Source organism: Homo sapiens, chromosome 10, assembly GCF_000001405.40.
Source record: "Homo sapiens chromosome 10, GRCh38.p14 Primary Assembly".
Classification (NCBI taxonomy): Eukaryota; Metazoa; Chordata; class Mammalia; order Primates; family Hominidae; genus Homo; species Homo sapiens.
This window is the reverse complement of record NC_000010.11, coordinates 86,935,426-86,963,397: the sequence shown is the minus strand read 5'-3', so window position 1 is coordinate 86,963,397 and position 27,972 is coordinate 86,935,426. Positions and strand designations below refer to the sequence as shown.

General features: G+C 54.6%; 2 protein-coding genes across 4 annotated transcripts, besides 10 other annotated features; one reads left to right on the top strand and one right to left on the bottom strand.

The window, feature by feature from the left end:
• Positions 140-7,639, bottom strand: SNCG (synuclein gamma). 3 transcript variants are annotated; one of them, XM_047425681.1, is made up of 7 exons: positions 7,542-7,639; positions 6,973-7,068; positions 4,580-4,863; positions 3,724-3,765; positions 3,270-3,397; positions 723-794; positions 140-433 (listed from the first exon to the last, which is right to left on the bottom strand). In XM_047425681.1, the coding sequence occupies exons 1-7, from the start codon at positions 7,607-7,609 to the stop codon at positions 413-415; spliced, it is 711 nt and encodes a 236-aa protein (XP_047281637.1). In that variant the 5' UTR covers positions 7,610-7,639; the 3' UTR covers positions 140-412. The 3 variants fall into 3 exon arrangements, with proteins under 3 accessions (XP_047281637.1, NP_001317049.1, NP_003078.2); NM_001330120.2 differs by having other exon boundaries at positions 3,270-3,449; positions 4,580-4,810; NM_003087.3 differs by lacking the exons at positions 6,973-7,068; positions 7,542-7,639 and having other exon boundaries at positions 4,580-4,799.
• Positions 909-1,508: an enhancer, noted in NCBI's record as "H3K4me1 hESC enhancer chr10:88721647-88722246 (GRCh37/hg19 assembly coordinates)". NCBI's record gives its function as "activates a minimal SCP1, AML or CMV promoter by ChIP-STARR-seq in primed H9 embryonic stem cells {active_cell/tissue: H9 hESC(primed)}" and the evidence as "EXISTENCE:reporter gene assay evidence [ECO:0000049][PMID:30033119]".
• Positions 2,109-2,709: an enhancer, noted in NCBI's record as "H3K27ac-H3K4me1 hESC enhancer chr10:88720446-88721046 (GRCh37/hg19 assembly coordinates)". NCBI's record gives its function as "activates a minimal SCP1, AML or CMV promoter by ChIP-STARR-seq in primed H9 embryonic stem cells {active_cell/tissue: H9 hESC(primed)}" and the evidence as "EXISTENCE:reporter gene assay evidence [ECO:0000049][PMID:30033119]".
• Positions 3,910-4,509: an enhancer, noted in NCBI's record as "H3K27ac-H3K4me1 hESC enhancer chr10:88718646-88719245 (GRCh37/hg19 assembly coordinates)". NCBI's record gives its function as "activates a minimal SCP1, AML or CMV promoter by ChIP-STARR-seq in primed H9 embryonic stem cells {active_cell/tissue: H9 hESC(primed)}" and the evidence as "EXISTENCE:reporter gene assay evidence [ECO:0000049][PMID:30033119]".
• Positions 5,783-27,858, top strand: MMRN2 (multimerin 2). The gene is made up of 7 exons (NM_024756.3): positions 5,783-6,020; positions 17,709-17,837; positions 17,922-18,028; positions 18,130-18,210; positions 18,963-19,136; positions 19,270-21,081; positions 26,273-27,858. Exons 1-7 carry the CDS (start codon positions 5,857-5,859, stop codon positions 26,653-26,655), a joined length of 2,850 nt encoding a protein of 949 aa, NP_079032.2. The 5' UTR covers positions 5,783-5,856; the 3' UTR covers positions 26,656-27,858.
• Positions 7,512-8,111: an enhancer, noted in NCBI's record as "H3K27ac-H3K4me1 hESC enhancer chr10:88715044-88715643 (GRCh37/hg19 assembly coordinates)". NCBI's record gives its function as "activates a minimal SCP1, AML or CMV promoter by ChIP-STARR-seq in naive and primed H9 embryonic stem cells {active_cell/tissue: H9 hESC(naive and primed)}" and the evidence as "EXISTENCE:reporter gene assay evidence [ECO:0000049][PMID:30033119]".
• Positions 8,713-9,312: an enhancer, noted in NCBI's record as "OCT4-NANOG-H3K27ac-H3K4me1 hESC enhancer chr10:88713843-88714442 (GRCh37/hg19 assembly coordinates)". NCBI's record gives its function as "activates a minimal SCP1, AML or CMV promoter by ChIP-STARR-seq in naive H9 embryonic stem cells {active_cell/tissue: H9 hESC(naive)}" and the evidence as "EXISTENCE:reporter gene assay evidence [ECO:0000049][PMID:30033119]".
• Positions 8,772-9,066: an enhancer, noted in NCBI's record as "tiled region #565; HepG2 Activating non-DNase unmatched - State 20:ReprD, and K562 Activating DNase unmatched - State 5:Enh". NCBI's record gives its function as "activates a minimal TATA promoter and a strong SV40 promoter by Sharpr-MPRA in HepG2 and K562 cells {active_cell/tissue: HepG2 | K562}" and the evidence as "EXISTENCE:reporter gene assay evidence [ECO:0000049][PMID:27701403]".
• Positions 18,181-18,754: an enhancer, noted in NCBI's record as "H3K27ac-H3K4me1 hESC enhancer chr10:88704401-88704974 (GRCh37/hg19 assembly coordinates)". NCBI's record gives its function as "activates a minimal SCP1, AML or CMV promoter by ChIP-STARR-seq in naive H9 embryonic stem cells {active_cell/tissue: H9 hESC(naive)}" and the evidence as "EXISTENCE:reporter gene assay evidence [ECO:0000049][PMID:30033119]".
• Positions 22,529-23,029: an enhancer, noted in NCBI's record as "H3K4me1 hESC enhancer chr10:88700126-88700626 (GRCh37/hg19 assembly coordinates)". NCBI's record gives its function as "activates a minimal SCP1, AML or CMV promoter by ChIP-STARR-seq in primed H9 embryonic stem cells {active_cell/tissue: H9 hESC(primed)}" and the evidence as "EXISTENCE:reporter gene assay evidence [ECO:0000049][PMID:30033119]".
• Positions 23,459-23,508: an enhancer, noted in NCBI's record as "active region_3698". NCBI's record gives its function as "activates an Ori minimal core promoter by ATAC-STARR-seq in GM12878 lymphoblastoid cells {active_cell/tissue: GM12878}" and the evidence as "EXISTENCE:reporter gene assay evidence [ECO:0000049][PMID:35858748]".
• Positions 23,652-23,946: an enhancer, noted in NCBI's record as "tiled region #4131; HepG2 Activating DNase unmatched - State 4:PromP, and K562 Activating DNase matched - State 4:PromP". NCBI's record gives its function as "activates a minimal TATA promoter and a strong SV40 promoter by Sharpr-MPRA in HepG2 cells, with weaker activation in K562 cells {active_cell/tissue: HepG2 | K562}" and the evidence as "EXISTENCE:reporter gene assay evidence [ECO:0000049][PMID:27701403]".

Below are 27,972 nucleotides of genomic sequence, written 5' to 3'. Positions count from 1 at the left end.
GGCTCACGCAGGTCCCATGAATGCCCTGTGTGTGTCCCTATAGGATACCTGGTCCTATCAACAGGCTGAACCCGTTCCTGTTCCTGGGAGGACCTGGGGACCCCTCCTCAAGCTACACAGCACCCAGAGGAAGCATGGCAGGAGTGGGCTCAAGTTTTATTTGGAATCATTTAAAAAAAAAATTCACAGCAGCATAAGTGGGGTCAGAAGGACCAGAGGGTGGGTGGGGCCGAGGGAGGGCAGTGAGGTTGGTGCAGCAGCACAGGTGGACAGGCCAAGGGTGGCCAGGGAGACGAGGGCAGGAGCGTGGGCAGCCGCATGTCACTCAAGGCGGGCACTCCTTGTGCTAGGAGGGGATGGTGTCCAAGGCAGAGGAGCGCTCTTCAGGTCATCCACGCTGGCCTGTAGCCCTCTAGTCTCCCCCACTCTGGGCCTGGGAGAGAGAATGACCTGCACACCCAGCTCCAGGCCCCAGCCTTAATGGGCCACCCTGAGTGGGCTGAGAAAAGTTGTCTTCTGTGCCCCATGCCTGAGGGGTCATCCGTGGGGGGACCTCCCACTCAGGTTCAGGGTTAGCCCTGTACACAGTCCCTGTAGGGGCTGTGGAAGGTCAGGAGGCCCCTCTGGGCCCTGGGAGCCCAGGAGGGAAGCAGTGCGTCTGTGGGGGATGGGGTCCCTACCAAGGAACCCCCCATGGTGCACCCCAGGAGCCCAGCTCCTACCTCCTCTGCCACTTCCTCTTTCTCTTTGGATGCCTCACCCTCCTGTTGGGGGGCAGATGGCCTCAAGTCCTCCTGTAGGGGACAAAAGGGGGCATGAGACCATGTGGAGAATGCAGAGACCCCTAGCTGCCCTGCAACCAGGGCCTTGTCTACCCTGGCCTCAAGGAGGAGCAGAGGCCCCTCGTGGCCTTGTTGTACTTGGAGGGGCTGGAGGTATTGGGGGCGTGCAATTCAGACAATACCCGGGGCTCTGATGATGCCGAGGCCTTCCAGGGGCACCAAGTACCCTGGAGCCCAGCTTCACCCCTCAAGCTGGTCCCCAGTCTCTGGGAAGCCCCTAGTTGGGCTTCACTGATGAGGAACCTGGGTGGGGTAGGGTGGAGTGGGGGTTAGAGTGGGCAGAGGCCCCTGAAGCCCCAGGTCTGACCCCACCCTCAGTAGCCCTACAAGGAAGACTGATTGGGGTTCACATAGGGACTCTGAGGCCAGGGAGGCTTGGCATGCAGCTCAGGGCCTTCGAGCTCAAAGTGGTGGGGTGTGTTGGCATCAGATCAGGCTTGCTTCAGGCCCACTTCAGTCCACAGGAGCATGGCTCCCTCTCTTTGCCTCCTGGACAGGCTCTGGGCTCAGGCTGGTCAGGGCCAGCAGAGGTTACACAGTCCTCTCTCACTTCCCATCTTCTATCTCCTGCACTCCATGCCGGCCAGACACTTGCGTGAGATATCATGACAGCTGGGTGTGTAGGACCACACTGGTGATTGCCCTGCACTCTGGCCTCAGCACCTGCCTCTGGCGGGGGACGGGGGGGAGGCGGGGATACTGTCACCTCTGTGTTGCCCCAGGGCCATCCTGCCCCTTGGCGGAGTGGGGCATAAAAGGGCAGTGCTGTGCTGGCGGGAGTCGGCCAGGCTATCCAGGGGCAGGGCAGGTGGCCACCTGCTGAGTCCTGCTGCCCTAAGGCTGATGATGAGGCCAGGGGTATGAGTGGTCAGATAGTCCCTGCTGAGGCCTTTCACAGTTCACTGGGAGATGAGTCGTGACTGGTTTTGGGGTGTCACCAGGAAATGAGTCTCCCTCGAGGTGGCTCCAAGGGCTCACTAGCCCTGCTCCGGGATTCACAAGGAATGCCCGGGCACCCTCACCCCAGGGCCTCTTTTGCTGGGGGTGAGGAGGGAGGAGCCCCCTGGGGCTCTATGTGTTCTGCCTGGGACACATGATGATGATGATGATGATGGTCACCTTCCTCTGCTGGGTGCTCACATAGACCAGGAGAATTGCTTCATGGAGGTCATGGCCCTGCCTCATCACACAGCCCAGGGAGGCCGACACTCTCACCCCCATCTTGCAGATGAGAACACGGAGGCCCAGAGAGGTTCCTTTGCTTCTCAAGGTCATACGACGAGAAAGGGGAACTAGGAGAGGGAGCGGCTGCCAGCTCCAAGGACATGGAGACCCTGTGCTGGCCCTGGAAGCAGACACCTGGGCATCGCCCCAGAGCCAAGAGGAGTAGGGCAGCCCCCACCCTTCCACCCACCCACTCCTAACGCAGGGATTCTCAGTGCTCAGAGCCTCAGACTCCACCACCTAGGAGGCCTGGAGCAGGTAGGAGAGCTGGACACTGCTCCCCCGCCCCACCCCCAGGTAGGAATCCTAGCCCAGGCCACCACTTACACTGCCACAGGGTCTCTCAGAGTACAGGCTGCTCAGGGGAATTCCAAGCTCACATGAACTAGCCATGGGACCTTGGGCACATTAATCTCTCTGGGCCTTAGTTTCCACACCGTCTCATGGATTTTGTGTCTATTAAATGAACTAATAAGCGTACAATGCGTAAAGCAGAGCTTGCTGTGTCACAGGTGCTGGGACAGCTCACCCAGCCAACACCCGTCCCTGGGGTGCGCCCCACTGCTCCTGTGCTGTCTGCTATTGGGCCGCACACGCATGTGTACATTCACACGCATGTACACCCACACATTCTCACAAATGCACCCACATGCTCACTCAACACACGTGCACACACACACAAAGGCAGCTGCAGAGGGTAGGGTCAGAAGCAGCACTGCTTTCTTACCACTAGGGGACGCTACTTCCCTGAGGCTCCCAGCAGGAGGCAGCTGCCCCGCCCAGCCCAGGGAGGGAGGCTAGGCCCTGGGGGCGGGGCTGGTGCTACTCAGCCCCCGGCCTGGTGACCACTGCCCGGGAGGCTGCCTGTCACCGTGTGGGATCCTGTTTTCACTTATAAAATGGGGTGTCTCCTAAGTGCTGAGAGCCGTCCGGAAGATGTGGTTTTGAGCCTCACTTTCCTTGTCTATGAGATGGGCTCCCAAGTCCCCCGAAGGGGTGGTTGTGGTGATTCCAGACCCGAATGCAGGTCGAACAGCAAGCATGGACCCCACCCCATGCCGGCGCTCAGTGGGTACTGAAACTGAAGCCAGCCGCAGCCCCCCGTGTTGTTTCCTGGGGTGTGGAGTGGAGTGATGCCGCCTCCGCCCAGCAGCCTTTCTGGGCCCAGGAGAGGACTGGGCAGGTCTGAGGGCCGGGGCTCACCTTGCGCACCACCCCGGAGGTGACCGCGATGTTCTCCGCCTCCTCCACGGTCTTGGTGGCCACAGTGTTGACGCTGCTCACCACAGCCTCGCTCACGGCGTTGGCCTGCTCCTTGGTCTTCTCGGCCACTATGGGAGGACACTGGCTGGCCTCCACCCCAGCCCCAGCCCCAAGGCAGGCCTGCTGGAGTCAGGCTCGCAGCCCCTTCCCAGGAGCTCAGAGCCCTGGCCCTGCTGGGACCCTCCCCTGCTCCCTCTGACTCCAGGGCACCTCTGATGCTGGTGGGGGTAAGGAGACGCCCACCCTAGTTTAGCCTCATGGTCTGCAGGGGTCTGTAGGGCTTGGGACCCCAGTTGGGGGTAAGGCAGGACTCTAGGTTTGAGCCCCAGCACTAGGATGCAGGAGCCCCAGGGGTCCTATCCCCCATGTGTCCCCTGGCCCTGGGGCTTCTCACCTGAGGTCACGCTCTGTACAACATTCTCCTTGGTCTTGGCTCCTGGGGAGGAAATGGAGCTGTCAGCCCAGACCTCCCTCGAGGTGTTGGGGGCGGTCAGGACAAACACAACAGAACAGCTGGACAAACTGTGGGGTCGGTGGGGGGGTAAGGATGGTGTCTGGGGGCCGGCGGCCCCTTCAGAGGGCCTCTTCCTGCTGTGTCTGGAAGAAGTGGATGGATGGGAAGGGGACAGGACAGAATGTGGGGGACAAGAGAGAGCAGGCCTGAGGTAGGGACACTGGCTAGACCCAGGGTCCAGCCCCTGCCCGGGTGTGGCCGGGCCTCAGAAGCAGCAACAGGACAGGATGGGCCAGAGCTGAGTCATTGGCTTGACCTCCCCTTCCTCCTCTGGAGAGTGCCAGGAGAGGATGCGGGGGAGGGAACACTGAGCCTAGGTTTCATCCCCCAGCCTGCCCCTTCTCTCTGGGGAGGGAGGGGATCCGTGACCTGGCTGTAGCCGCTCCCGTGTGGAGAGGGTGGGGGCCACCTGAGCACAGGCTGCTCATGGCTTCAGGGGCTCCAGGCTCAGGGGAGGCTGGTATGCTTGGGAATGTGTGTGTGCGTGCACAGACAGGTAGCCAGCCCTGTCTGCGGTCTCTGACACCCAGAGGCCCCGAGGAGGCCAAAGACAAACACACATAGGTGTGCACAGGGCATTGTGGGTGCTCCAGGGTCTGGAGACCCCACCTTGATAGCCAGGGCCTCGCCCCCTCCCAAAATGCCTCCCTGGGGCTGGGGAGTAAGGTCTGGCGAAGGTAACTGGGCACTCACCCTTTGGCCACCACACTGTCCCACCCTGCCATGCCCCACTTACCCACATACATGACCCCCTCCTTGGTCTTCTCAGCTGCTTCCGTCACCCCCTGCTTGGTCTTTTCCACCGCACCCACCACGCCCTCCTTGGCGATGGAGAAGCCCTTCTTGAAGACATCCATGGTGGGTGTGCAGGGTTGTGCTGCTGCAGGCAGGACGGAGCTGGATCTCCCTGCGAGCTGCGGGCTTGAGCTGGCTCGAGTGCTGCCGCAGCGGCTGTCCCCGATGCCTCCTATTGACGCCGATGAAATATTGATGCGGAGGCCAGCTGGAGCCCAGCCAGCCCTGCGTGCAGTGGGGGCGGGGAGGGAGGGAGGGAGGGAAGGAGGTTCAGCCTCACCTTCCTCCAGGATAGGAAGGCAGAGACCAGGCTCCCTGGGCTCCTGCTGGCTCAGCCCAGCTCTCCTGCCCCGTGCCCTCCATGGGCTGGAGGGGGCTGGCCACCTCCCAACCTGTCCCTCATTCATTTACTGCCCTGCCCACCCATGGGGGCAGCCCTGGCTGGGTGCTCTTGGCCCCAGGGGTGCTGTGTCTATGCTGCACCTGGACAGACAGGCACAGAGAGGGGAGGCGCCTTGGCCATTGTCCCCAGCTTCCTAGGTAGGGGTCAGGGCCACATAGGCCTGTTAGGTGAGAGCAGCCAACCTCCCGCGGCCTGGGCTGTGCAGCTACCCACCAGCATCCTGGATGCCGCTGGACCCTGGGCTGCCATGAAACCGGTTGGAGGATCTGAGGTGGGTGGGGGTGGGGAAATGAAGGACTTCCTCATGCCTTGGCCTCTGGCTGCATGCTGTGTGACCCCAGAATAGTCCCTTCCCTTCTTTGAGCCGCCCAGTGCTGAAGGTGCTGAGGAGGCATGAATTGCCCCCCATTTCCTGGCCAGCAGTGTGGATGGGCAGCAGGTCCCCTGAGATGGACCTGACCACTTCCTGTGGCCCCACCTCGAAGTCCACGCTCTTTTCATGGCTCCCAGGGAGCAGGTTCCCATAAGGATGCATTTGGTGGGGCCACCCCATGTCTACCACATTCCCAGAGTCCCTGAGCCAAGTCCTCAGGGACAGGAACTGGCTTGTGTGGTTGGCGGCCCCTGTGGGGCCAGCCAGGGTAGTTGGGGGGCAGGACAAGACCCACCGGGTAGGCCGGCCCAGGCCACTTCCTCTCTTTGTTGTCCTCGTATTTTCTTTTCCTCCTGAGATTTAACTTGAAGACAACGTCACTAGCAGTTTCTGGAGCTACTTGCCAAGGCTGAGTGTGAGCTGAGCCTGCCCCACCACCAAGATGATCCTGAGCTTGCTGTTCAGCCTTGGGGGCCCCCTGGGCTGGGGGCTGCTGGGGGCATGGGCCCAGGCTTCCAGTACTAGCCTCTCTGATCTGCAGAGCTCCAGGACACCTGGGGTCTGGAAGGCAGAGGCTGAGGACACCGGCAAGGACCCCGTAGGACGGTAAGAGGGCCTGGACCTTGGCAGAGGTCATGGAGTAGGATCTGAGTCCCAGCTCAGCTAGAGCAGAGCCTCTCTAGACCTCACTGGGGTCCCATCTGTGAAATGGGCTAATAGTATCTATCTCTGGGCCATCTGTGAGGCTGAAAAAGTAGTCTGGACTGGGTGTTTCAGGATCCACCTAAGAATTGCAGGGAGTTCCCTGTCGGAGCCATGGCAGGGAATGGGGCTTGGGGGGCTGGCAGGGAGGCACAGCTCCTACCATCAATCACCCAGCATGGGGCACTGGGGGACTGTGGCTGAAGCCATTGCCAGCTGGCCTGGCTATGCCTCCTGTTCTTCCAAAGAAATCAATTCTGAAAGCTGAGACCCAGCAAGGCTGCCCTGAGATTTTGATCTGAGTTCCCTGGGGACCTGACTCTGACTGCCCAGCAGTGAGCAGAGACGGCCCCCTGCTCTCCAGAGCACAGTCCAGGGCGCTCTGCCTCAGCGACCCAGCAAGTGGGCAGGATGGTCTTGCAACTGGACCCAGAACATAGCTTTCCAACATTCTATGTGTACAGAGCCAGGGCCCATCCTGCTGATGAGGTGTTGGGCCTGTAAGTCCCCCCTCATCTCCAACTGCCCCTCAGTCAGAGCAGCAGGTGCTGTTTACGGGGCCCCCAGTCTCAGGGCCAGGCACCTTGCCACGTGTATCTCAGTTCATCCCTCCAACAGCCCCACTTACAGAGGAGGAGCCTGAGGCTCAGAGAGGCTGAGGGGCTTGCCCAAGGCCACACAGCTAAGGAGCAGGATCTGAGTTTGACTTCAGAGCTCATAGTGAACTCTCTGCAGCACTTGGAGCCAGCCCCAGCCCCCAGATGCTCCTACCTCCACCCTCCTGCCCCCACACACCAGACCTGTTTGGCTAAGGGCATCTACATGGATTTAGGGAGTGAGGGGGGGGCCAACTTACACTTCTGTGCGGTGTATGAGAGCCACCATCGCAGAGCGGACCTGCCTGGGATAGGTCTCATTTGGCTTCTGAGTTGCAGGTTTGTTGGGTGCTTTCCTGAAAACAGATTTGACCAGGGAGGGGCAAGAGGCCCCTTAGTGAGGGTCTGGTGGCAGTGGCGTGGGGAACAGTGGCTGAGCAGTTGGCCATGGAGAAACCTCATTCCCGCCTGCCCCCAACTCTGCTCAGGGCTGGGAGGTGCAGGTGATTCTCGGTGGTGGGGCGGCAAGGGGAGCAGGGGGCGGGGGAGGGGCGGGCTGGATCCAGCCACTCCGCTCTGATTTCAGGACCAAGGAAGCTCCACGCCTTAGTCTCAGGCCACCTTCCGCCTTTTGATGAAAGGGAGGATGAGAGGACCCGGTGGACGGGAGGGAGGAGGGAGCTGCTCCTCTTCCTCCCCACCCCCTTGGTTGTGGGAGAGACATTGCTCCCTTAGCCCCAAGGAGTGAGGGTTTGGGAACTGCTGATGGGCAGCCCTGCAGGGGCCCCGCAGTCCTTCTCTGGGGTTCTGAGTGGGAGGGTGCATGTACCTGGCCCAGGAATGCCCAGGTGTCCCAAGCCTGGAAGCCCCCTGCCTGCAGGGCTCTCCTTCCCACATCCAGAAGCTGCAGTCTCCACAGGGCAAGTCCATGCTCTCTCACCAAACCCGGATGGGCTGGTGAGAAAGGAAGGAAACGCGCGGCTTCCTGGGCTGATTACTTCCCTTGCTCCTGTGACCAGGGAGGTGGAAGCGTGCTCCAGACCCTGTCCCTGCAGCATGGGAAGGGGAGGCAGACTGGGTTCTGCTAGCAGGGGTGGTGACACCAACACCATCACAAGGAGGCTCGGCTGCCAGGGCCAGGCATTCTGCCCTGCCTTTGCCACTTACATCTGTTTCCAGAGCCCCAGGGCTAGGCTGGGCCCAGGATGCAGGCCCCAATAAGACCCTTTGCAAGGAGAAGCTTGAATAGAACCACTACGTCCTCAGACTTCCCTGAGGTGGAGAAGCGAAGGGGTTAACTGCTTCTTAGGTTGCCAGGGACCCCGAGGGGCCCAGCCCAGGGAGCCAGCAGCCTGAGCATTAGGACTCCGGGAGGAAGAGGCTGTTTCTGTGCCCTGGCTTGGGGATGTCTAGAATGTGGGTGCCTCAGACCCAGGATTTGCTGTCCCAGTGGAACTCAGTCTGCGGTAGGGACCGTGCTGAGCCCCAGGCAAGGTGTCCCATCTATCACATTGCTATGATAGCTTGGAGGGGTGGGGACGCCTCCCAGGGCCACAGAGCTCCTAAGTGACAGTGAGAGCCCAGGCCCACCCAGGCTGTCCTGTCCCCCCAAGAGGGTGGCCGTGTAGGGGATGCTGCTGCCAGCAGGCTGGTTGGCCCCAGTCACCAGCCTCAGGCTTCTCCTGACCCTTACACAAAGAGCACTGAGATTTTCCCAGCTGGGAGCTTGTGGCCCAGAGGAGTCCAGCATATGACTGGAGGTCACACAGGAGCAGGGCAGAGCACAGGCCGCCTTCTCTGGGCCACGATGCACCTTTTGCACTTGTTCCTCCCCCATCCTCACCCCCACCCCCGACCCCTGCCGGGCACAGAGCCCTTGGTATGAACAGGGAAGAACCCCCACTGGCCAGAGCTGAAGCTTCCAGAACCACGCTCAGGGGTTCTTAGCTCTGGGCTGATCCCTGAGAGCCTCAGGCTTCTCTGCCAAGGCCCTTTTCTGACTCAAGGACAAAATCCTGTGAGTTTCTCCCCTGGAATGGTCAAGTTAATGGCTGGCTTCAGGGCCTCAGAAAACAAGGCTGCTGAGAACACGCCTTCCTTCCCAAGGAAGACTTGAGGGCCCCTGGGAGGGCGTTTCCTGGCTGGGGAAGGGAAGGCACTCCACACAATCTGCATAATGGATGCGCCCTCCCCCTCCCACAGGCTCCCTCTCCCTTCCCCCCACACCAGCTCTGATCTGTGTGCCGCAGAGGCACAGCTTCTTCGCATTTCGATGATGGGGGAAGGGCCTTGCCCAAGGTCACTGTGGGTTCAGGGAGGAGGAGGAGAGGAGAACGCAGGCCGCCCAGCTTCCATTTAAAGCTCCAAAGGAGTCCACGTACCCTCCTATCTGGGTGGAGCAGCAGGTTGGGGCCACAGCAGACCAAGGGCAGCTCCAAACCAGGCCAGAGGAGCCCCACATCCACTCTGGGTTGGCCACTGGGAGATGAGGGCACCCAGCAGGACTCCCCAAGGGAGGGCACAAAGATGAAGCCAGCCTGAGACGGAGGGGCAGAGGGAAAAATGGGCACTTCAGCAAGTTGGGCCGGGGGCATGGGCATCAAGGGCCAGCCAGAAGCTGCCAAGAGCTGGAGGAAGCCAAAGCAAAGGTCAGGAATGTTCCCAGGGTTCTGGGCCAGCAGCCTGTACTGTGCCAAGGGAGGGCCTGCCCAGGGTGGGGAGCATGGGCAGAGAGAATAGCAGTGCTGAAGCCCAGGGTCTGGGCAGGTCAGCGGAGAAAGTTCCTGGGCAGGAAGGGTGGGCGGCATAGTTTCCACTTCCAGGAGCTTGAGGTGGAAAGTCCCAGTCACTCCTGGCAGGCTGGACCAGGCCAGGCGTGCCTGGGGCACACGCCTTCCAGGCCCTCTGCAGTAGGTCAGAGGTTTGCAAGGAATGGAAGTTTGTTTAGAGAGAGTTTCTCAGCCCTGGCATACTGACATTTTGGACTAGATAATTCCTTGTGGTGGGGTGTGGAGATGTCCTATGCATTGTAGGGTATTTGGCAGCATCTTTGGGCCCCACCCATGAGATACCTAGTCATGAGTAGCACCCACCACCCAGTCGTGACAATGCACCTGGGGAAAGTACCCTCTCCTCCCATTGAGAACCACTGGTCTAAGAGAGATTTTTCCCTAGGGCTGAGCTGTTGCGGGAAGTCAGGGACCCTGAACGGAGGGACAGGCTGGAGCCGCGGCAGAGGAACATAAATTGTGAAGATTTCATTTTAATATGGGCATATATCAGTTCCCAAAATTAATACTCTTATAATTTCTTACACCTGTCTTTACTGCAATCTCTGAACATAAATTGTGAAGATTTCATTTTAATATGGACATTTATCACTTCCCTAATAATACTCATAATTTCTTATGCCTGTCTTGCTTTAATCTCTTAATCCTGTTATCTTCATAAGCTGAGGATGTACATCACCTCAGGACCCTGTGATTTTGCGTTAACTGTACAAATTGATTGTAAAACGTGTGTTTTAATAATATGATATCAGTGCACCTTGAAAATGAACAGAATAACAGCGATTTTAGGGAACAAGGGAAGACAACCATAAGGTCTAACTGCCTGCGGGGTCGGGCAAAAGGAGCCATATTTTTCTTCTTGCAGAGAGCCTATAAACGGATATGCAAGTAGGAGAGATATCGCTAAATTCTTTTCCTAGCAAGGAATATAATATTAAGACCCTAGGAAAAGAATTACATTCCTGCGGGGAGGTCTATAAACGGCCGCTCTGGGAGTGTCTGTCCTATGCGGTTGTGATAAGGACTGAGATATGCCCTGGTCTCCTGCAGTACCCTCAGGCTTACCAGGATTGAGAAACCCCAGCCCTGGTAAATTTGAGATCAAACTGGTTCTCTGCTCTCAAACCCTGTTTTCTGTTAAGATGTTTATCAAGACAATACATGGAACCACTGAACGTAGACCCTTATCGGAGTTTTTGATTTTGTCCTTGCCCCGTTTCCTCAGAAGCATATGATCTTTGCTCTGCTTTTTGCCCCTTAAAGCATGTGACCTACTCCCTGTTCATACACCCCCTCCCCTTTTGAAGTCCTTAATAAAAACCTGCTGGTTTTGCGGCTCAGGTGGGCATCACAGTCCTACCGATAGGTGATGTCACACCTGGAGGCCCAGCTGTAAAATTCCTCTCTTTGAACTCTTTCTCTTTATTTCTCAGACCAGTCGACACTTAGGGAAAATAGAAAGAATGTATGTTGAAATATTGGGAGTGGGTTCCCCCAATACTGAGCCCATGTTCCAGGAGTTTCCATGGGGCCCCAGGTGGATGTCTGTGCAGGCAAGCATGACACCTGTGGCTCCTGAGCTCTGGGGCCAGCGCCTTCCCAGCTCTCTGTTTCAGTGTTGAGTGAGCATTCCTTCCTTCCTTCCATCCTTATCGTGAGGTGTCCCCTTTTTACGTTGACTGATCCCTTGGAGATGCACTGGCCCCTTCCTGGTCTCTGTTCCCACTGGCTGGCATATCGAATCCTGAGCCAACGCCCCATCATTTTCATTCCTTGGCTTTGGAGTCGGTCTTGATAGTTGTGAGAGAAACTCCCTACTCATTGTTTTCTTTCAAAATGTTCTTTCTTTTTTTCTTTTGAGACAGGGCAGACCCAGGCTCGAGTGCAGTGGTTCAATGTCGGCTCACTGCAACCTCCACCTCCTCAGCTCAAGCAATCCTTCCACCTCAGCCTCCCAAGTAGCTGGGACTAGAGGTGTGCACCACCACACCCAGCTAATTTTTGTATTTTTTGTAGAGACAGGGTTGTGCCATGTTGCCCAGTCTTGTCTGAAACTCCTGCATTCAAGTGATCCTCCTGCCTGGGCCTCCCAAAGTGCTGGGATTACAGGCATGAGTCACTGTGTCCAGGTTCCAAACTGTTCTTGATTATTCATCTGCATTTTCTCTTCCTGATGAAAATGATTTTTTTTTTAAGTTTCATTTTTATTAGTTATATATACTCATAGGCAGGGGTCAGAAAACTATGGCCAGTGGGCCAAATCCAGCCCATCACCTGTTTTTGCTAACAAAGTTTTATTGGAGCACAGACAGGCTGGTTCATTTATATGTTGTCATTGACTTCTTTTGTGGTACAATGGCAGAGTTGAGTAGATGGGACAGAGTTCATGTGGCCTGGAAAGCCTGAAACCATGGCCAGCATCAGGGGCATGTGACCTGTGCAGTCACACACAAGGCCCTGCACTCTGGAGGGCCCCACCCTGGGTGTCACCATCTTGAAATTCTTCATACTTTTTGAAGGAGAGGCCCCACATATTCATTTTGCACTGGGCCCTGAAGATTATGTAGCTGGCCTTGTGTCAAATATTTACTACCTGTACCCTTAGAAAAAAAGTTTGCTGATCTCCTGATTAGGAGTCAACTGGTTCTATAAGGCTTGTTGAGACAGTCAGAAGCCCCAGCTCCCTCTGGTCCCAAGGGCAATGACTTTCAACTTTGCAGGTGATTCTTTTGCATTTACCTCTGTATCACTAAAGAACATGCTTGCATTGCTACTTCTTAGGAGGTAGCATTATCTTTTTTTTTCTTTGAGATGGAGTTTCACTCTTGTTGCCCAGGCTGGAGTGCAATGGCGTGATCTTGGCTCACTGCAACCTCCACCTCCCAGATTCAAGCAATTATCCTGCCTCAGCCTCCCGAGTAGCTGGGATGGAAGTAGCATTATCTATGAGCTAGATCTCATTCCTACCCCAAAGCAAATGCATGTGCACGCATCCATAGGGCCATGTGTACTGCTCAGCATTAAGCCTTGAAATAAACTGTGAAACTTTTTTGCCCCCTTGCACACTTTTGGTTTTCCCTGTAGTAAAAATTTAGAACTCACAGAGTTCTAAAATTTCATGTCTTGCTTTTTTCTTCTGCTTATTCTGTGTCTTTATCACTAACTCAACTCCACACCCTCAGCCAGTTGTCCACATCTGCTCTCTACACTCATTCATGCCAGGTGTCAGATCAGCTGCATCTTCTTGGAGATGTGGCTCCCAGAGCCTCCAGGTGTGTTCCAATGTGAACTGCTGCCCTCATACCACAGCCCATTGTCATTCTGGAGGCTCTCTTCACCTGGTTTTTGTGTTGGAACCTGTTTCCTGATCTTGTGCTTTCTCTTTCTTGATTTTCTCTGTTGTTTTGTTAGAGTGTTTCCTGTGACACCACGGTTCTGCATCCTGGGTGTGCCATGCAATTACCCAGAGAGCCTTAAAATGCTGGTGCTCAGGCCCTAAGCTCAGGGGATCTAGGAGACTATTATTTTTCTTTCTTTTTATTATTATTATTATTTTTGAGACGGAGTCTCTCACTGTCACCCAGGCTGGAGTGCAATGGTGTGATCTTGGCCCACCACAACCTCTGCCTCCCGGGTCAAGCGATTCTTCTGCCTCAGCCTCCCAAGTAGCTAGGATAATTAGGAGATTATGCCCAGATAATTTTTTGTATTTTTAGTAGAGACAGGGTGTCACTATGTTGGCCAGGCTGGTCACAAACTCCTGACGTCGTGATCCGCCTGCTTCGGCCTCCCAAAGTGCTGGGATTACAGGCATGAGCCACCGTACCCGGCCTCTTTTTATTATTTTTTGTATTTTTTGTAGAGATGAAGTCTCACTATATTGCCCAGGCTGGTCTCAAATTCCTAGTCTCAAGCAGTCTTCCTGCCTCGGCCTCCCAGTGTTGGGATGATCGTCATGAGCCACTGCACCTGGCCCAAGACTATTATTATTATTATTATTATCATTATTATTATTATTATTGAGACGGAGTCTCGCTCTGTCACCCAGGCTGGAGTGCAGTGGTACAGTCTCCACTCACTGCAACCTCTGCCTTCCGGGTTCAAGTGATTCTCCTGCCTCAGTCTCCCGAGTAGCTGGGATTACAGGCGTGCACCACCATGCCCGGCTAATATTTGTATTTTTAGTGGAGACAAGGTTTTGCCATGTTTGCCAGGCTGGTCTGGAACCCCTGACCTCAAGTGATCCACCTGCCTTGGCCTCCCAAAGTGCTGGAATTACAGGCATGAGCCACCACACCCAGCCCCAAGACTATTATTTTTAAAGTGTCACACAATGGTTTTGTTTTTGGGTGTCTTTTTTTTTTTTTGAGATGGGGTCTCACTATGTCTCCAGGCTGATCTCAAACTCCAGGCCTCAAGCAGTTCTCCCACCTCAGTCACTTGAGTATCTGGGATTACAGGTGCAAGCCACCACACCTGGCTTGCATGATGGTGTTGATGTGCAGGCAATATTTCAAACCACTGCTCATCAGGTAGTCTCCTACTGGGATACATGGGAGGTAAATGTTCTGAAACCTGGGTTGTTTGAAAATGTCTTTATTCTCACTCCCCACACTGGTTCATAGTTAGGCTGGATATGAGATTCTGGGTTGTAAATTATTTTTCTTCAGTATTTTGAATGCAATTTTCACTGTGTTCCAGTTTCCAATATTGCTGTTGAGAGGTTCAAAGCCATTCCAATTACTGATTTTGTATGAGTGTGTTTGTCTTGGTTTTCCTCTCTGGAAGCACGTAGAAACCATCTTTGTTCCCAGAGTTCTAAAATTTCATATGACATGTTTTGATGTAAGTGTATTTTCATCATATTGCAGGTAACTGGTGGTGCTTTTAATCTGGAAATTGAAGTCCTTAACTTCTGGAATATGTTTTTTGTTTGTTGTTGAGACAAGGTCTCGCTCTTTTGCTCAGGCTGGAGTCCAGTGGCGCAATCATAGCTCACTGAAGCCTCAACCTCCTGGGCTCACGGGACCCTTCCACCTCAGCCATCTGAGGAGCTGGGACTACAGGTGTACATCACCACACCTGGCTAATTTTTTAATTTTTTTGTGGAGATTGAGATCTTGCCATGTTGCTCAGGCTGGTCTCGAACTCCTGAGCTCAAGTGATCCTCCTGCCTCAACCTCCCAAAATACTGGGATTACAGGCATGAGCCACCATGCCCGGCCTGATTTTTTTTCATTGATGATTTTCTCCATCTGTTCTCTCTTTCTGAAATTTGTACTACTTGGATGTTACATTTGCAAGACTGGTCGTCTATTTTTCTTTTCTCTTTCCAATTTTCATCTCTCTGTTTGCTCTTTTAGGGAAATTTCTTTAACTTTACCCTCTAACGTTTCCATTAAATTTATTTTCATTTTTACTGTTACGTTTTTAATTTCCAAGAGTTCCTTTTTGTTTTCTGAATGCTCACGCTTCCTCTCCCATCTCCCCCTCATTTGTTTTTTTCATAGCTTCCTGGTCTTGTTTCTTGGGTGCAGTAATTTCTTTTATCAACCTGGAAATCTTAGTACAAATGTTTGAGTGGTTCTCTTCTCCTTACACAGTCTTAGTTTTTGTCCAGGTTGACATTTTTTTGTTTGCCCACTTCAACCTCTTTTTTTTTTTTTTTTTTTGAGATAGGGTTTTGCTGTGCACCCAGGCTGAAGTGTAGTGGCATAATCATGGCTCACTGCAGCCTCAAACTTCTGGGCTCAAGCAATCCTCCTACCTCAGCCTCCTGAATAGCTGGGACTACAGGCATGCGCCACCACACCTGGCTAATTTTTTGTAGGGATGAGGTCTCACTACGTTGCACAGGCTGGACTCAAACTCCTGGGCTCCAAGGATCCTCCCACCTCAGCCTCCCAAAGTGCTGGGGTTACAGGCGTGCGCCACTGTACCTGGCCCTCTTTTGGAATACAGTGTTTCTTGGGTAAATCTTGGATGTCTGCTCACTTAAGAGGAGAAAGACTGAGAAACTGACTGGAAGCTGGGGTGTATGAATACTCCTTTCTTACCCATTTTGTCATAGGATCTTCTGGTTGGCTATTTTTATGGGAGAACCCCTGCTGTCAGCAGCTTTGGGTCTTTTCCTCTCGGGCTGGCTTATTTTCCTGAGAAACTTTTCCAGTCTGCTGCTGAGAGGGTAAAGCAGGCTGGGGACTCAGCACTCAAAATATGGTCACTCGGCTGGGTACAGTGGCTCACGCCTGTAATCCCAGCACTTTGGGAGGCTGAGGCAGGTGGATCACGAGGTCAGGAGTTTAAGACCAGCCTGGCCAACATAGTGAAACCCCGTCTCTACTAAAAATACAAAAAAAATTAGCCAGGCTTGGTGGTGGGCACCTGTAATCCCAGCCCACTTGGGAGGCTGAGGCAAGGAGAATCGCTTGAACCTGGGAGGTGGAGGTTGCAGCAAGCCGAGATTGCACCACTGCACTCCAGCCCAAGCGACAGTGCGAGACTCCGTCTCAAAAAAAAAAAAGTCACTCGAATCCCCCGCCCCTGCCTTTCCCAACACTATCCCCTGTGTGACAGTGCTTGATGGCCCCAGGACAAAGACCGGCTCCAGAGAATAAAATCCCGGCACTGACAGCCACTTCATCACCAAGGCCTCTGAATGCTGCTTTCTAAGAGCCCACAAATGTGGCCACTTCTCCCATGTCCACCATCACTCAGTCCAAGTTGCCATCATCTCTCCCCAGACCGTGGACACAGCTGCCAACGTCTTGCCCTCCCATCATCTCTGCACCCAGGGACCAGGGTGGCTCTTTCATGCCACTTCCCTGCTGAAACCCCTCCATGATTTCCCATGCCCTCAGGACATGGGCCAGCTCCTCCGCTGAGGTCTGGCTTCTCCCTTCATCCCAGCCTCCTTCTGCAGCCCCTTCCTCACCCTCTTGCACCCCTGTCACATCTGGTGCCTCATCCGACTTTCTGGCCTTAAGACACAGCCCCATTAGCTCCTTCTCCTGAAAGTCTCTGCAGATCCTAGCACTTCTCACCCATTCTAAGAGTGCCCGCTCTCCCTGGGGATCCTGAAGGGAAAGTCTGCACCTCCACATCCACACCCTGAGCTTGAGTGCAGCACCCGGCACCCAAGAGGTGCTGAGCTGTACTGTGCCACAGAGATCATTGCCACTTTCAACTCTGACGAGCTCTGTTCTGGGAGCTGGCTGCCTGGGGAAGGGCTCTCTGACCACTGCCACTGACCCCATGGAGTCAGCCACTGGGTCTGTGAACTGGGGCTCTGTCAGCATGAGTGTCCCCCCGCTCCTGGGACCACCACAGTACATGCTGGTGAAGGGCCAGGATGGAAGGGCTACCTATCAGGTGTGCGGGATGCTGAGTGTGACCCCCAACCACCTTGCATGACCTTGATGCGGTGGCCATCCCAGAGAGGACACTGCTCCACCCAGCTGCTTACCTTTCCTTAGGACAACTGTTTGAAAGTCCCTTTCTAGAATGGTCCTAATGGGCATGGCCAGGGAGCTGGTCCCTCATGTAAGTAGCAACTGGGCAGGCTGCCAGGGCAGCTGGAATGGGGCAGTGGAGCTGTGTTCACAGAACGCTTGTCAGGAGCCAGGCACCTGGTGCTTCTCTGCCCACTTAAAGGAGGGCATTACGATCGCCATTGTATAGATGGGGAAAGAGAAGCTCCCTAAGTGCCTCACTCAGGGTCACACAGCCAGAAAGTGTGAGGGATTCGAACCCAGGATTCTCCAGCCCCAGCTGCACGTTGGTAGCAGGAGAAACAGCGAGAGCTTTCTGGCTCTGTGGCTAACCTCACCAAAGGGAATCCATGCAGACAGCTGCAGTGCACACGGTGTTTTCCCCACACTCTGGCTGTTAGTTTTGTTGGCTAAAACAATCATCACCCTGGAGCTGCTTTTCACAGTTCTAGATTGTGGTGGGTTTCTCAGCCTCTCTGCTGGCTCGGGGAGGCTTCGGGAAGGTGGTGGAGCAGGTGCCCTCTTTGCAGGTAGGGATTGTGAAACATTTGCTCTGGAGCCCAGGGATGAATAATGCGGAAGGCTCTCTTCTCAGGATAATGGATTCCAGAATCCCAGCACTGCTCCGGCAGGAGGCGAGGACCGGTGGCTCTGCACTGGCACCCCCTGTTGACCTGGGTGTGGCTCAGCAGCCTTCTCCTCTGGCTTGTTTTCCAGTAACTGGTGCCCCTACCCAATGTCCAAGCTGGTCACCTTACTAGCTCTTTGCAAAACAGAGAAATTCCTCATCCACTCGCAGCAGCCGTGTCCGCAGGGAGCTCCAGACTGCCAGAAAGTCAAAGTCATGTGAGTAGGGGAGGGTGGGCCATTTGCCCAGGCCTGGAGCGGGCCCTCCCTGGAATCACTGAGCCAGCCCTTCTCCTCTTCCAGGTACCGCATGGCCCACAAGCCAGTGTACCAGGTCAAGCAGAAGGTGCTGACCTCTTTGGCCTGGAGGTGCTGCCCTGGCTACACGGGCCCCAACTGCGAGCACCACGGTAGGGCTCCCTGCGGCCCCCTTCCCCCCTTGACCTCTGATCCCCAAGGTCAAGCAGCTCCTCTGACCACTGGGGTCAATAACTAATGCTTTCTTCTGCAGATTCCATGGCAATCCCTGAGCCTGCAGATCCTGGTGACAGCCACCAGGAACCTCAGGATGGACCAGTCAGCTTCAAACCTGGTGTGTTGCTTTCCGGAAGGGGAAGGCAGGCAGGCTGGTGGGGCCCATGTAGCCAGCTGGCCCTTTTTCCTGTGATACAGCAGTGCCATTTCAGGGAAACCTTGCCTCCAGAATCAGCAAGGCCTGCTCTGTGGCCTGTACCACCTCCCACCTTGAAGGCCAGGCTCACAGGGCCCCCAGCGGCCTACTGGCCAAGCACACACACCCTTTTCCTTCACCCCATCTTCTGGGAAGGACTGGTTCATCTGGCACTTTCCTTGCCCCGCTGAACCACACAAGCCCTTGTGCCTGGAAAAAGCATTCTCACCCTTTCCCACAGCCCTAACCAGAGCCAGGAAGTCATGCTGTCCTTGGTCTTGGAGTCAGCACAGGAAACCCACCAAGAGACACCATTTGCAGCAGGGCCCTTTAAGGCTGGGCCCAAGATTGAGAAAGTAAATGAGTTTCATTATGTGGTGAAGTATTTATTGACAAGGGCTGCCAAGAATGAAGTTGTGAGGCCATGTGCATGTGCTGAGGAGGGGAGTGTACCATGATTGATTAGTCATGTCTGCTGTAGGTGTAGGAGGCAGGGTGAGGGCTCACTTGCTATGCATTTGCCCTCCAGGGGTTTAAGGCTTCTAAGCTCCTGCTCAGAGGACATCAGCAGCTAACTTCCCTGCTCTCAGCCTTCAACTCTCCTTCTCTGAACCTTGTGATCTTCCCAGGCCTGGTGAGTTAGCCCTTGACATTTATGTCTGCTGTGTATTTAGGCCACCTTGCTGCAGTGATCAATGAGGTTGAGGTGCAACAGGAACAGCAGGAACATCTGCTGGGAGATCTCCAGAATGATGTGCACCGGGTGGCAGACAGCCTGCCAGGCCTGTGGAAAGCCCTGCCTGGTAACCTCACAGCTGCAGTGATGGAAGCAAATCAAACAGGGCACGGTGAGTGGCAGGCTCTAGGGGCTGAGGAAGAGCCTGGTCACATTGAGGGGAGGAGGGGAGGACCCCGCTGGTCCCAGCCTGGGAGGAGTGTCTGCTCCTGCAGGGCTTGTGTCACACCACATGTCTGTTGCAGAGTTCCCTGATAGATCCTTGGAGCAGGTGCTGCTACCCCACGTGGACACCTTCCTACAAGTGCATTTCAGCCCCATCTGGAGGAGCTTTAACCAAAGCCTGCACAGCCTTACCCAGGCCATAAGAAACCTGTCTCTTGACGTGGAGGCCAACCGCCAGGCCATCTCCAGAGTCCAGGACAGTGCCGTGGCCAGGGCTGACTTCCAGGAGCTTGGTGCCAAATTTGAGGCCAAGGTCCAGGAGAACACTCAGAGAGTGGGTCAGCTGCGACAGGACGTGGAGGACCGCCTGCACGCCCAGCACTTTACCCTGCACCGCTCGATCTCAGAGCTCCAAGCCGATGTGGACACCAAATTGAAGAGGCTGCACAAGGCTCAGGAGGCCCCAGGGACCAATGGCAGTCTGGTGTTGGCAACGCCTGGGGCTGGGGCAAGGCCTGAGCCGGACAGCCTGCAGGCCAGGCTGGGCCAGCTGCAGAGGAACCTCTCAGAGCTGCACATGACCACGGCCCGCAGGGAGGAGGAGTTGCAGTACACCCTGGAGGACATGAGGGCCACCCTGACCCGGCACGTGGATGAGATCAAGGAACTGTACTCCGAATCGGACGAGACTTTCGATCAGATTAGCAAGGTGGAGCGGCAGGTGGAGGAGCTGCAGGTGAACCACACGGCGCTCCGTGAGCTGCGCGTGATCCTGATGGAGAAGTCTCTGATCATGGAGGAGAACAAGGAGGAGGTGGAGCGGCAGCTCCTGGAGCTCAACCTCACGCTGCAGCACCTGCAGGGTGGCCATGCCGACCTCATCAAGTACGTGAAGGACTGCAATTGCCAGAAGCTCTATTTAGACCTGGACGTCATCCGGGAGGGCCAGAGGGACGCCACGCGTGCCCTGGAGGAGACCCAGGTGAGCCTGGACGAGCGGCGGCAGCTGGACGGCTCCTCCCTGCAGGCCCTGCAGAACGCCGTGGACGCCGTGTCGCTGGCCGTGGACGCGCACAAAGCGGAGGGCGAGCGGGCGCGGGCGGCCACGTCGCGGCTCCGGAGCCAAGTGCAGGCGCTGGATGACGAGGTGGGCGCGCTGAAGGCGGCCGCGGCCGAGGCCCGCCACGAGGTGCGCCAGCTGCACAGCGCCTTCGCCGCCCTGCTGGAGGACGCGCTGCGGCACGAGGCGGTGCTGGCCGCGCTCTTCGGGGAGGAGGTGCTGGAGGAGATGTCTGAGCAGACGCCGGGACCGCTGCCCCTGAGCTACGAGCAGATCCGCGTGGCCCTGCAGGACGCCGCTAGCGGGCTGCAGGAGCAGGCGCTCGGCTGGGACGAGCTGGCCGCCCGAGTGACGGCCCTGGAGCAGGCCTCGGAGCCCCCGCGGCCGGCAGAGCACCTGGAGCCCAGCCACGACGCGGGCCGCGAGGAGGCCGCCACCACCGCCCTGGCCGGGCTGGCGCGGGAGCTCCAGAGCCTGAGCAACGACGTCAAGAATGTCGGGCGGTGCTGCGAGGCCGAGGCCGGGGCCGGGGCCGCCTCCCTCAACGCCTCCCTTCACGGCCTCCACAACGCACTCTTCGCCACTCAGCGCAGCTTGGAGCAGCACCAGCGGCTCTTCCACAGCCTCTTTGGGAACTTCCAAGGGCTCATGGAAGCCAACGTCAGCCTGGACCTGGGGAAGCTGCAGACCATGCTGAGCAGGAAAGGGAAGAAGCAGCAGAAAGACCTGGAAGCTCCCCGGAAGAGGGACAAGAAGGAAGCGGAGCCTTTGGTGGACATACGGGTCACAGGGCCTGTGCCAGGTGCCTTGGGCGCGGCGCTCTGGGAGGCAGGTGAGTTCCTGGGCTGGGGAGACTGGACGAGCCTAGGAGGCCAGGGCCGGCTGCCGGCAGCTCTTCTGCCTCCAAGAGGGCCAGGAAGAAAGAGAACAGGATGGCCATCCGTCACCCCTACTAGGTCCACCTTCCCCTTGGCCCACCTGCTTCTCAGGGGTGTGGGTCTCTCAAGCTACCTGGCTTATGGGGAGACAGAAGTCACAAGAACCACCTGCTAGTGCCAGAGCCCGTGAGCGGCATAGCCTGGAGGCCACAGGCACAATAGTGCCGCCTACTGCTCCTGCTACAGAGAGGGCATCGCCTCCTGCCCTGCCAGGGCAGCCTTCAAGTCCCCCCATCTCATCTCTTCACCTCACCCCCTTCATTCCCATGTGCGTTTAAGCCACTGTATCTAGGAAGAATGTGGATAGGGACTGTGGCCACTTGCAGCCCCACTTAGTTCTGTTTCATTTTCCATGATTTTAGTTTTTTTTTTGTTTTTTTTTTCTTTTTCTTTTCTTTTTTTTTTTTTTTTTAAGATGGGTCTCACTTTGTCGTCCAGGCTTGAGTACAGTGGTGGGATCATGGCTCACTGCAGCCTAGACCTCTCCAGGCTCAGCTGATCCTCCCACTTCAGCCTCCAGAGTAGCTAGGACTTACAGGCATGTGTCACCATGCCTAGCTAATTTTTGTACTTTTTGTAGAGACAGGGTCTTGCTATGGTGCCCAGGCTGGTCTCAAATTCCTGGGATCAAGTAATCTGCCCACCTCAGCCTCCTAAAGTGTTAGGATTACAGGTGTGAGCCATGTGCCCAGCCTTGATTTCAGTTTCTTGCATCAACCACGATCAGAAAATAGGTGAGTACAGTACAATAAGATTTTGAGAGAGGGAGACACCACATTCATATAACTTTTATTACAGTATACTGTTATAATTGCTTTATATTTTATTATTATTGTCAATCTCTTACTGTGCCTAATTTACAAGTTAAACTTTGGCATAGGTATGTACATAGAGGAAAATAAATAGTATATATAGGGTTTGGTACTGTCTGAGATTTCAGGCACCTGCTAAGGTCTTGGAACACACCTCAGTGGACTGTACAGGGAAAGCCGTGGGCCCTGAAAGGAGCTCATTCCCTCTGCAAATACAGTTAACCTGTCTCATCGCTCTGTGCTAGTCCCCTTCCTGGGCTTTACCACAATGGCCCATCCCAACAGGTCAATGACACACTCATCAGCACTTCCATCTTACCTGAAACTGAGGCGCAAACACAAGTTTCCTGCTTGCACAGCTAGTGAGCAGCAGAGGAGCGCTGTCTTTAGGGTGCCGGTTCTTCACCTCCAGAAGGCCCTCCATGGCTGGTCCCTGCAGGGCCCTGGGCCTGGGAGCTGGCTTTGAGGCTGAAGGCATGTGCAACCAAGCTTCCCATCCCCTCCCTGAGTGTGGTCCCGGGAGGGGGACAACTAGGCTCTGTGTCTCAAGTGACTCTCTCTGCCAGAGGCTGGCCTTGGAGCTGTGGCCTCTCCCCACCCAGACACAGGGCTAAGTACAAGGCCACCATCTTGGCCATGTGCAGCCTGGCGTGTGGCAAGTCCAAGGCCTTGTTGAAGGTCCCGTCCCAGGCAGCCCCTGCCCCAGCTGACCCTCCCTATGGCCCAAGAGGCAATGTGGAGCAGTGGGAAGCACCCAGGCTCTGGCATCACTTGTCTGTTTCTTCCTCAGTAAAATGGCAGAATCCCTACCCATGTCAAAGTTTTGTTATGAAGACTGCTGCGTTTACCAAATACCTAGCACGAGGCTTACCTCATGTAGGAACGCAGTCAACGTTTTCCCATTTCCCCAGCATTTTCAGGGTTCAGGTTGTGTCCACCGACACTGACACTTCTCTCTTGTTTCCTCTCGTGCGTGGTGCAAGGCTTCAATATGCTGATGACTTTCAGAATTTGCCCCACGGTTTGGAAATGTGTTTACCACGACGATATTTATTTCAAAAAAATGTTGTTCTTAAAAACAAATTTCCAGGCCGGGCGCAGTGGCTCATGCCTATAATCCCAGCAGTTTGGGAGGCCGAGGCGGGTGGATCACTTGAGGTCAGGAGTTCAAGACCAGCCTGGCCAACATGGTGAAACCCCATCTCTACTAAAAATACAAAATTAGCCGGGTGTGGTGGCGGGCGCCTAATCCCAGCTACTCGGGAGGCTGAGACAGGAGAATCACTTGAACCCGGGAGGCAGAGGCTGCAGTGAGCCGAGATTGCGCCACTGCACTCCAGCCTGGGCAAGAAGAGCGAAACTGTCAAAAAAAAAAAAAAAATTAGCCCGGTGTGGTGGCAGGCACCTGTAATCCCAACTACCTGGAAGGCTGAGGCAGGAGAATCGCTTGAACCTGGGAGGCAGAGGTTGCTGTGAGCCAAGATAGCTCCATTGCACTCCAGCCTGGGCGGCAGAGTAGGACTCTGTCTCAAACACACACACACACACACACACACACAAACACACACACACACACACACACACACACACACCCCAAATTTCCCTTTATTTGTTTGTAGGAAGGCTGTAGGGCTTGAATGTGTGCCCTGCAGGGAAGCACACTCTGAGTTTGCACAGCCCTTCCCGCATCTTAGGGCCTGTCAGGCGCAAGGCTGGGTTGGGGTGGGGGTCTCTCTCTGCGGCGGAACTCCCTGCGCAGGCGCCCGGACGGAACGGCCGGAACGAGGGCCTAGCACCGGTAGAGGGCGCTGCGGGCCGGCCTTCCTTCGGCTAGGCAAGAGAACCACCTGCAGGGTGTTAGGGGAATTGCAGAGGCAGCCGCCGGCCTCTGACTTGGGCACAATCTTTTTTTTTTTTTTTTTTTTTTTTTTTTTTTTGAGACGGAGTCTCGCCCTTTCGCTCAGGGTGGAGTGCAATGGCACGATCTCGGCTCACTGCAACCTCCGCCTTCCGGGTTCAAACGATTCTCCTGCCTCAGCCTCCCGAGTAGCTAGGATTACAGGCGCCTGCCACCATGCCCAGCTAATTTTTGTAGTTTTAGTAGAGACGGGATTTCACCATGTTGGCCAGGCTGGTCTCTATCTCCTGACCTCGTGATCCGCCCACCTCGGCCTTCCAAAGTGCTGGGATTACAGGCGTGAGCCATTGCGCCCGGCATTTTTTTTTTTTTTTTTTTTTGACGGAGTTTCACTCTCGTTGCCCAGGCTGGAGTGCAACGGCGTGATCTCGGCTCACGGCAACCTCCGCCTCCCGGGTGCAAGCGATTCTCATGCCTCAGCCTCCCAAGTAGCTGGGATTACAGGTATGCCCCACCACGCCTGGCTAATTTTGTATTTTTAGTAGAGATGGGATTTCTCCATGTTGGTCACGCTGGTCTCGAATTCCCGACTTCAGGTGATCCGCCCGCCTTGGCCTCCCAAAGTGCTGGGATTACAGGCGTGAGCCACTGCGCCCGGCTGATTTGACACAATCTGAACACAAATGAGAAAGCTATTCTCAGCTGTCTAATTCTCAGAAAATCTTCCAGAACTAGAGAAAAGCAACATTTTTTTATTCACAAAGGCTTGCTGGATTGGGAGTCAAAGAGCTGAGGCTTGAGTTCCGGGACCCAAGTCAGTAATTGCTCAGCAAACTGCTCCTCTGAAGGCTTTGGTTTTATCACCTAAGAAATGGGGACCTTGTTTTAAACCCCTACAGAGGGAGCAAGTTGAGGAACCCCATGGTGGACATGACCTCGTTGGTGCCAAGGCCAGTGTCACAGCCAGGACCCAAGTAGGACTTACCTTTCCTGTGCCATCTCATGACCCTGTCCCCAGCTGCCCAACCATGCTGTCCAGGCAGCAGGACTGGCTTCTTCCTGGCTGTTTGTACACCCTCCACACATGGCAGCTTCCTCTGCTTCTGTGCCCGTGCATGGGCCTGGCACCAGTGTTCTGTCAGTGTTCCTGTCCTAAGGCTGGCCAAAGTGGTCCCTGCAGAGAACCAGAAGTCTAGAGATTCAAGGTCTGTTCCCAGGAGGCTTGGTAATTTACTAGTTGTGTGGTCTGGAGCAATAAGCTTTTTCTTTCTGGGCCTCAATTTACCCATATGTAAGATGACCAGCTTGGCCAGTAACAGTGGCTCACACCTGTAATCCCAGCACTTTGCGGGGTTGAGGTGGGAGGACCGCTTGAGCTCAGGAGTTTGAGACCAGCCTGGGCAACAGAGCAAGACTCTGTCTCTACAAAAAATAAAAAATTAGCCAGGCATGATGGCGTATGCCTGTAGACCCAGCTACTCAGGTGGCTGAGGTGGGAGGATTGCTTGAGCCCAGGAAGTTGAGGCTGCAGTGAGCCATGATCGCCAATGCACTCCAGTCTGGGCAACAAGAGACCCTTTATCAACTAAAAAAAAGAAGACCAGCTTGAAGGGGCTTCTCTTCCCTGGCTCCACCTGCTCTTTCCTTCTTTCTCCAAGGTTCTGTCTTCAACATCCAGGAGGATCCAGCCTTCATGGCTCTGCAGATACCTTCCCAGTGTTAGCATTATTATTACCTTGAGGATGGATATTTTCTCCCTCTCCCCTGAGTATCTCAAGATTCCTAGCAAGTGGTGGTCGTCTGGGAGTCAGAGACCCGTGTTCCTGTCCCAGCCTGCCATTTACAAACCATGTAGCCTTGGGCAGCCGGTGAAGGATTCAACCTGTTTTGTCAATCAGGGATACTGTCTCTCAAGGAAGTTGGAAGGAAAAGGGATCAAACGAGAAAGTGCTTTGTGGCTGGGCATGGTGGCTCACCTGCAAGCCCAACATTTTGGGAAGCTGAGGCTGGAGGATCACTTGAGCCCAGGAGCTCCAGATCAGCCTGGGCAACATAGTAAGACTCCATCTCTACGTTAAAAAAAAAAAAGGGCTGCAGTGAGTCATGACCACTGCTGCACTCCAGCCTGGGAGACAGAGTGAGTCCCTGTCTAAAAAAAAAATGAAAGTATTTTGTTAAAATGTACACCAGCTCAGACAACAGACTTGCATTTTCCTTCCTCTCTATTAGTGAAAAACAGAATTGGCCATCTAGCTTTTCTCCTGCAATAACACTGCTGTTGGGAATATCTAGGTTATCTAGAAATAGTGACCTATTTCCATTGCTAATAAGGTGAGGACGGTAGGTCTCAGGGTTTAATTTCCCACCCAATGGTGTAAGGGATGAATCACTAAGCACTGTCCTGTTATGTTTCAGGATCCCCTGTGGCCTTCTATGCCAGCTTTTCAGAAGGGACGGCTGCCCTGCAGACAGTGAAGTTCAACACCACATACATCAACATTGGCAGCAGCTACTTCCCTGAACATGGCTACTTCCGAGCCCCTGAGCGTGGTGTCTACCTGTTTGCAGTGAGCGTTGAATTTGGCCCAGGGCCAGGCACCGGGCAGCTGGTGTTTGGAGGTCACCATCGGACTCCAGTCTGTACCACTGGGCAGGGGAGTGGAAGCACAGCAACGGTCTTTGCCATGGCTGAGCTGCAGAAGGGTGAGCGAGTATGGTTTGAGTTAACCCAGGGATCAATAACAAAGAGAAGCCTGTCGGGCACTGCATTTGGGGGCTTCCTGATGTTTAAGACCTGAACCCCAGCCCCAATCTGATCAGACATCATGGACTCGCCCAGCTCTCCTCGGCCTGGGGCTCTGGCCAAGGATGGGCTGGAGGTCATTCAGTTGGTCTGTCTCTTCCCTGGAAACCTTCTGCAAAGATGGTGTGGTGTACGTGGCTTCCCTGTAACCACATGGGGCTTGGCCATTTCTCCATGATGAGAAGGACTGGAATGCTTCTCCGGGCAGGACATGGTCCTAGGAAGCCTGAACCTTGGCTTGGCATGCCTTCTCAGACAGCACGGCCTGGGCTCCAACTCTTCACCACACCCTGTATTCTACAACTTCTTTGGTGTTTTGCTCCTCCTGTGGTTGGAAACTTCTGTACAACACTTTAAACTTTTCTCTTGCTTCCTCTTCTCTTCTCCCTTATCGTATGATAGAAAGACATTCTTCCCCAGGAGGAATGTTTAAAATGGAGGCAACATTTTGGCCAACATTGGAAAGCACTAGAGGGCAATGGGATTAAACCAACCTGCTTGGTCTCTATTAGTCAGTAATGAAGACGACAGCCTGGCCAACCAAGGGAAAGGAAATTAGTATCTTTAGTTTCAGTCATTCCTTGTAGGATATGGTTTAGCTGTGCCCCCACCTAAAATATCATCTTGAATTGTAATCCCTATAATCCCCACATCAAGGGAGAGATCAGGTGGAGGTAATTGGATCTTGGGGGCGGTTCCCCCATGCTGTTCTTGTGATAGTTCTCACGAGATCTGATGATTTTATAAGTTTGATAGTTCCTCCTGTGTTCATTCTCCTTCCTGCCACCTTGTGAAGATGCCTTGGTTCCTCTTCACTGTCTGCCATGATTGTAAGTTTCCTGAGGCCTCCCCAGCCATGTGGAACAGTGAGTCAATTAAACCTCTTTCCTTTATAAATTATCCAGTCTTGGGCAATTCTTGATAGCAGTGTGAAAATGGACTAATACACTTGTGTTTATCTGTAATTTAAATTTCATGTCTTTTTCTCCTTGCCTTACATAGGGTAAAGACCAAGAAATGCCAAACGTGAACTAAAATATGTAGGGCCTTCAACTTTTTTACTTCCTCCAGTATCTTAGGACCATCGTAATTCTTGTTAGCATCTCTAACCAGGAGGCAGCTGAGGGAGGAGGGAAAGAAGACTGTAAAAATCCCCCTCACTAATGATCAACTTTGGAATAAAGTGATGCCCTTCAAATCTCTGCCTCATTTACTTCTGGAGGGCAAAAATAATTGGTAGAGTAGGTAAAAAAAACATGGGACAACGTGAAACTATGTGGGTAAATGTGACTGATTATTCCAGGCCCTGTTA

Coding starts and splice junctions, on each gene's coding strand:
- MMRN2 (NM_024756.3), top strand. CDS start 5,857: ATGATCCTGAGCTTGCTGTTCAGCCTTGGGGGCCCCCTGGGCTGGGGG. Junction 6,021..17,708: donor GGCAAGGACCCCGTAGGACG/GTAAGAGGGCCT, acceptor CTTGTTTTCCAG/TAACTGGTGCCCCTACCCAA. Junction 19,137..19,269: donor AGCAAATCAAACAGGGCACG/GTGAGTGGCAGG, acceptor TGTCTGTTGCAG/AGTTCCCTGATAGATCCTTG.
- SNCG (XM_047425681.1), bottom strand. CDS start 7,609: ATGTGGGAAGGAGAGCCCTGCAGGCAGGGGGCTTCCAGGCTTGGGACA. Junction 3,766..4,579: donor GGAGGGGGTCATGTATGTGG/GTAAGTGGGGCA, acceptor TTTCCTCCCCAG/GAGCCAAGACCAAGGAGAAT. Junction 434..722: donor AAGAGGAAGTGGCAGAGGAG/GTAGGAGCTGGG, acceptor TCTCTCTCCCAG/GCCCAGAGTGGGGGAGACTA.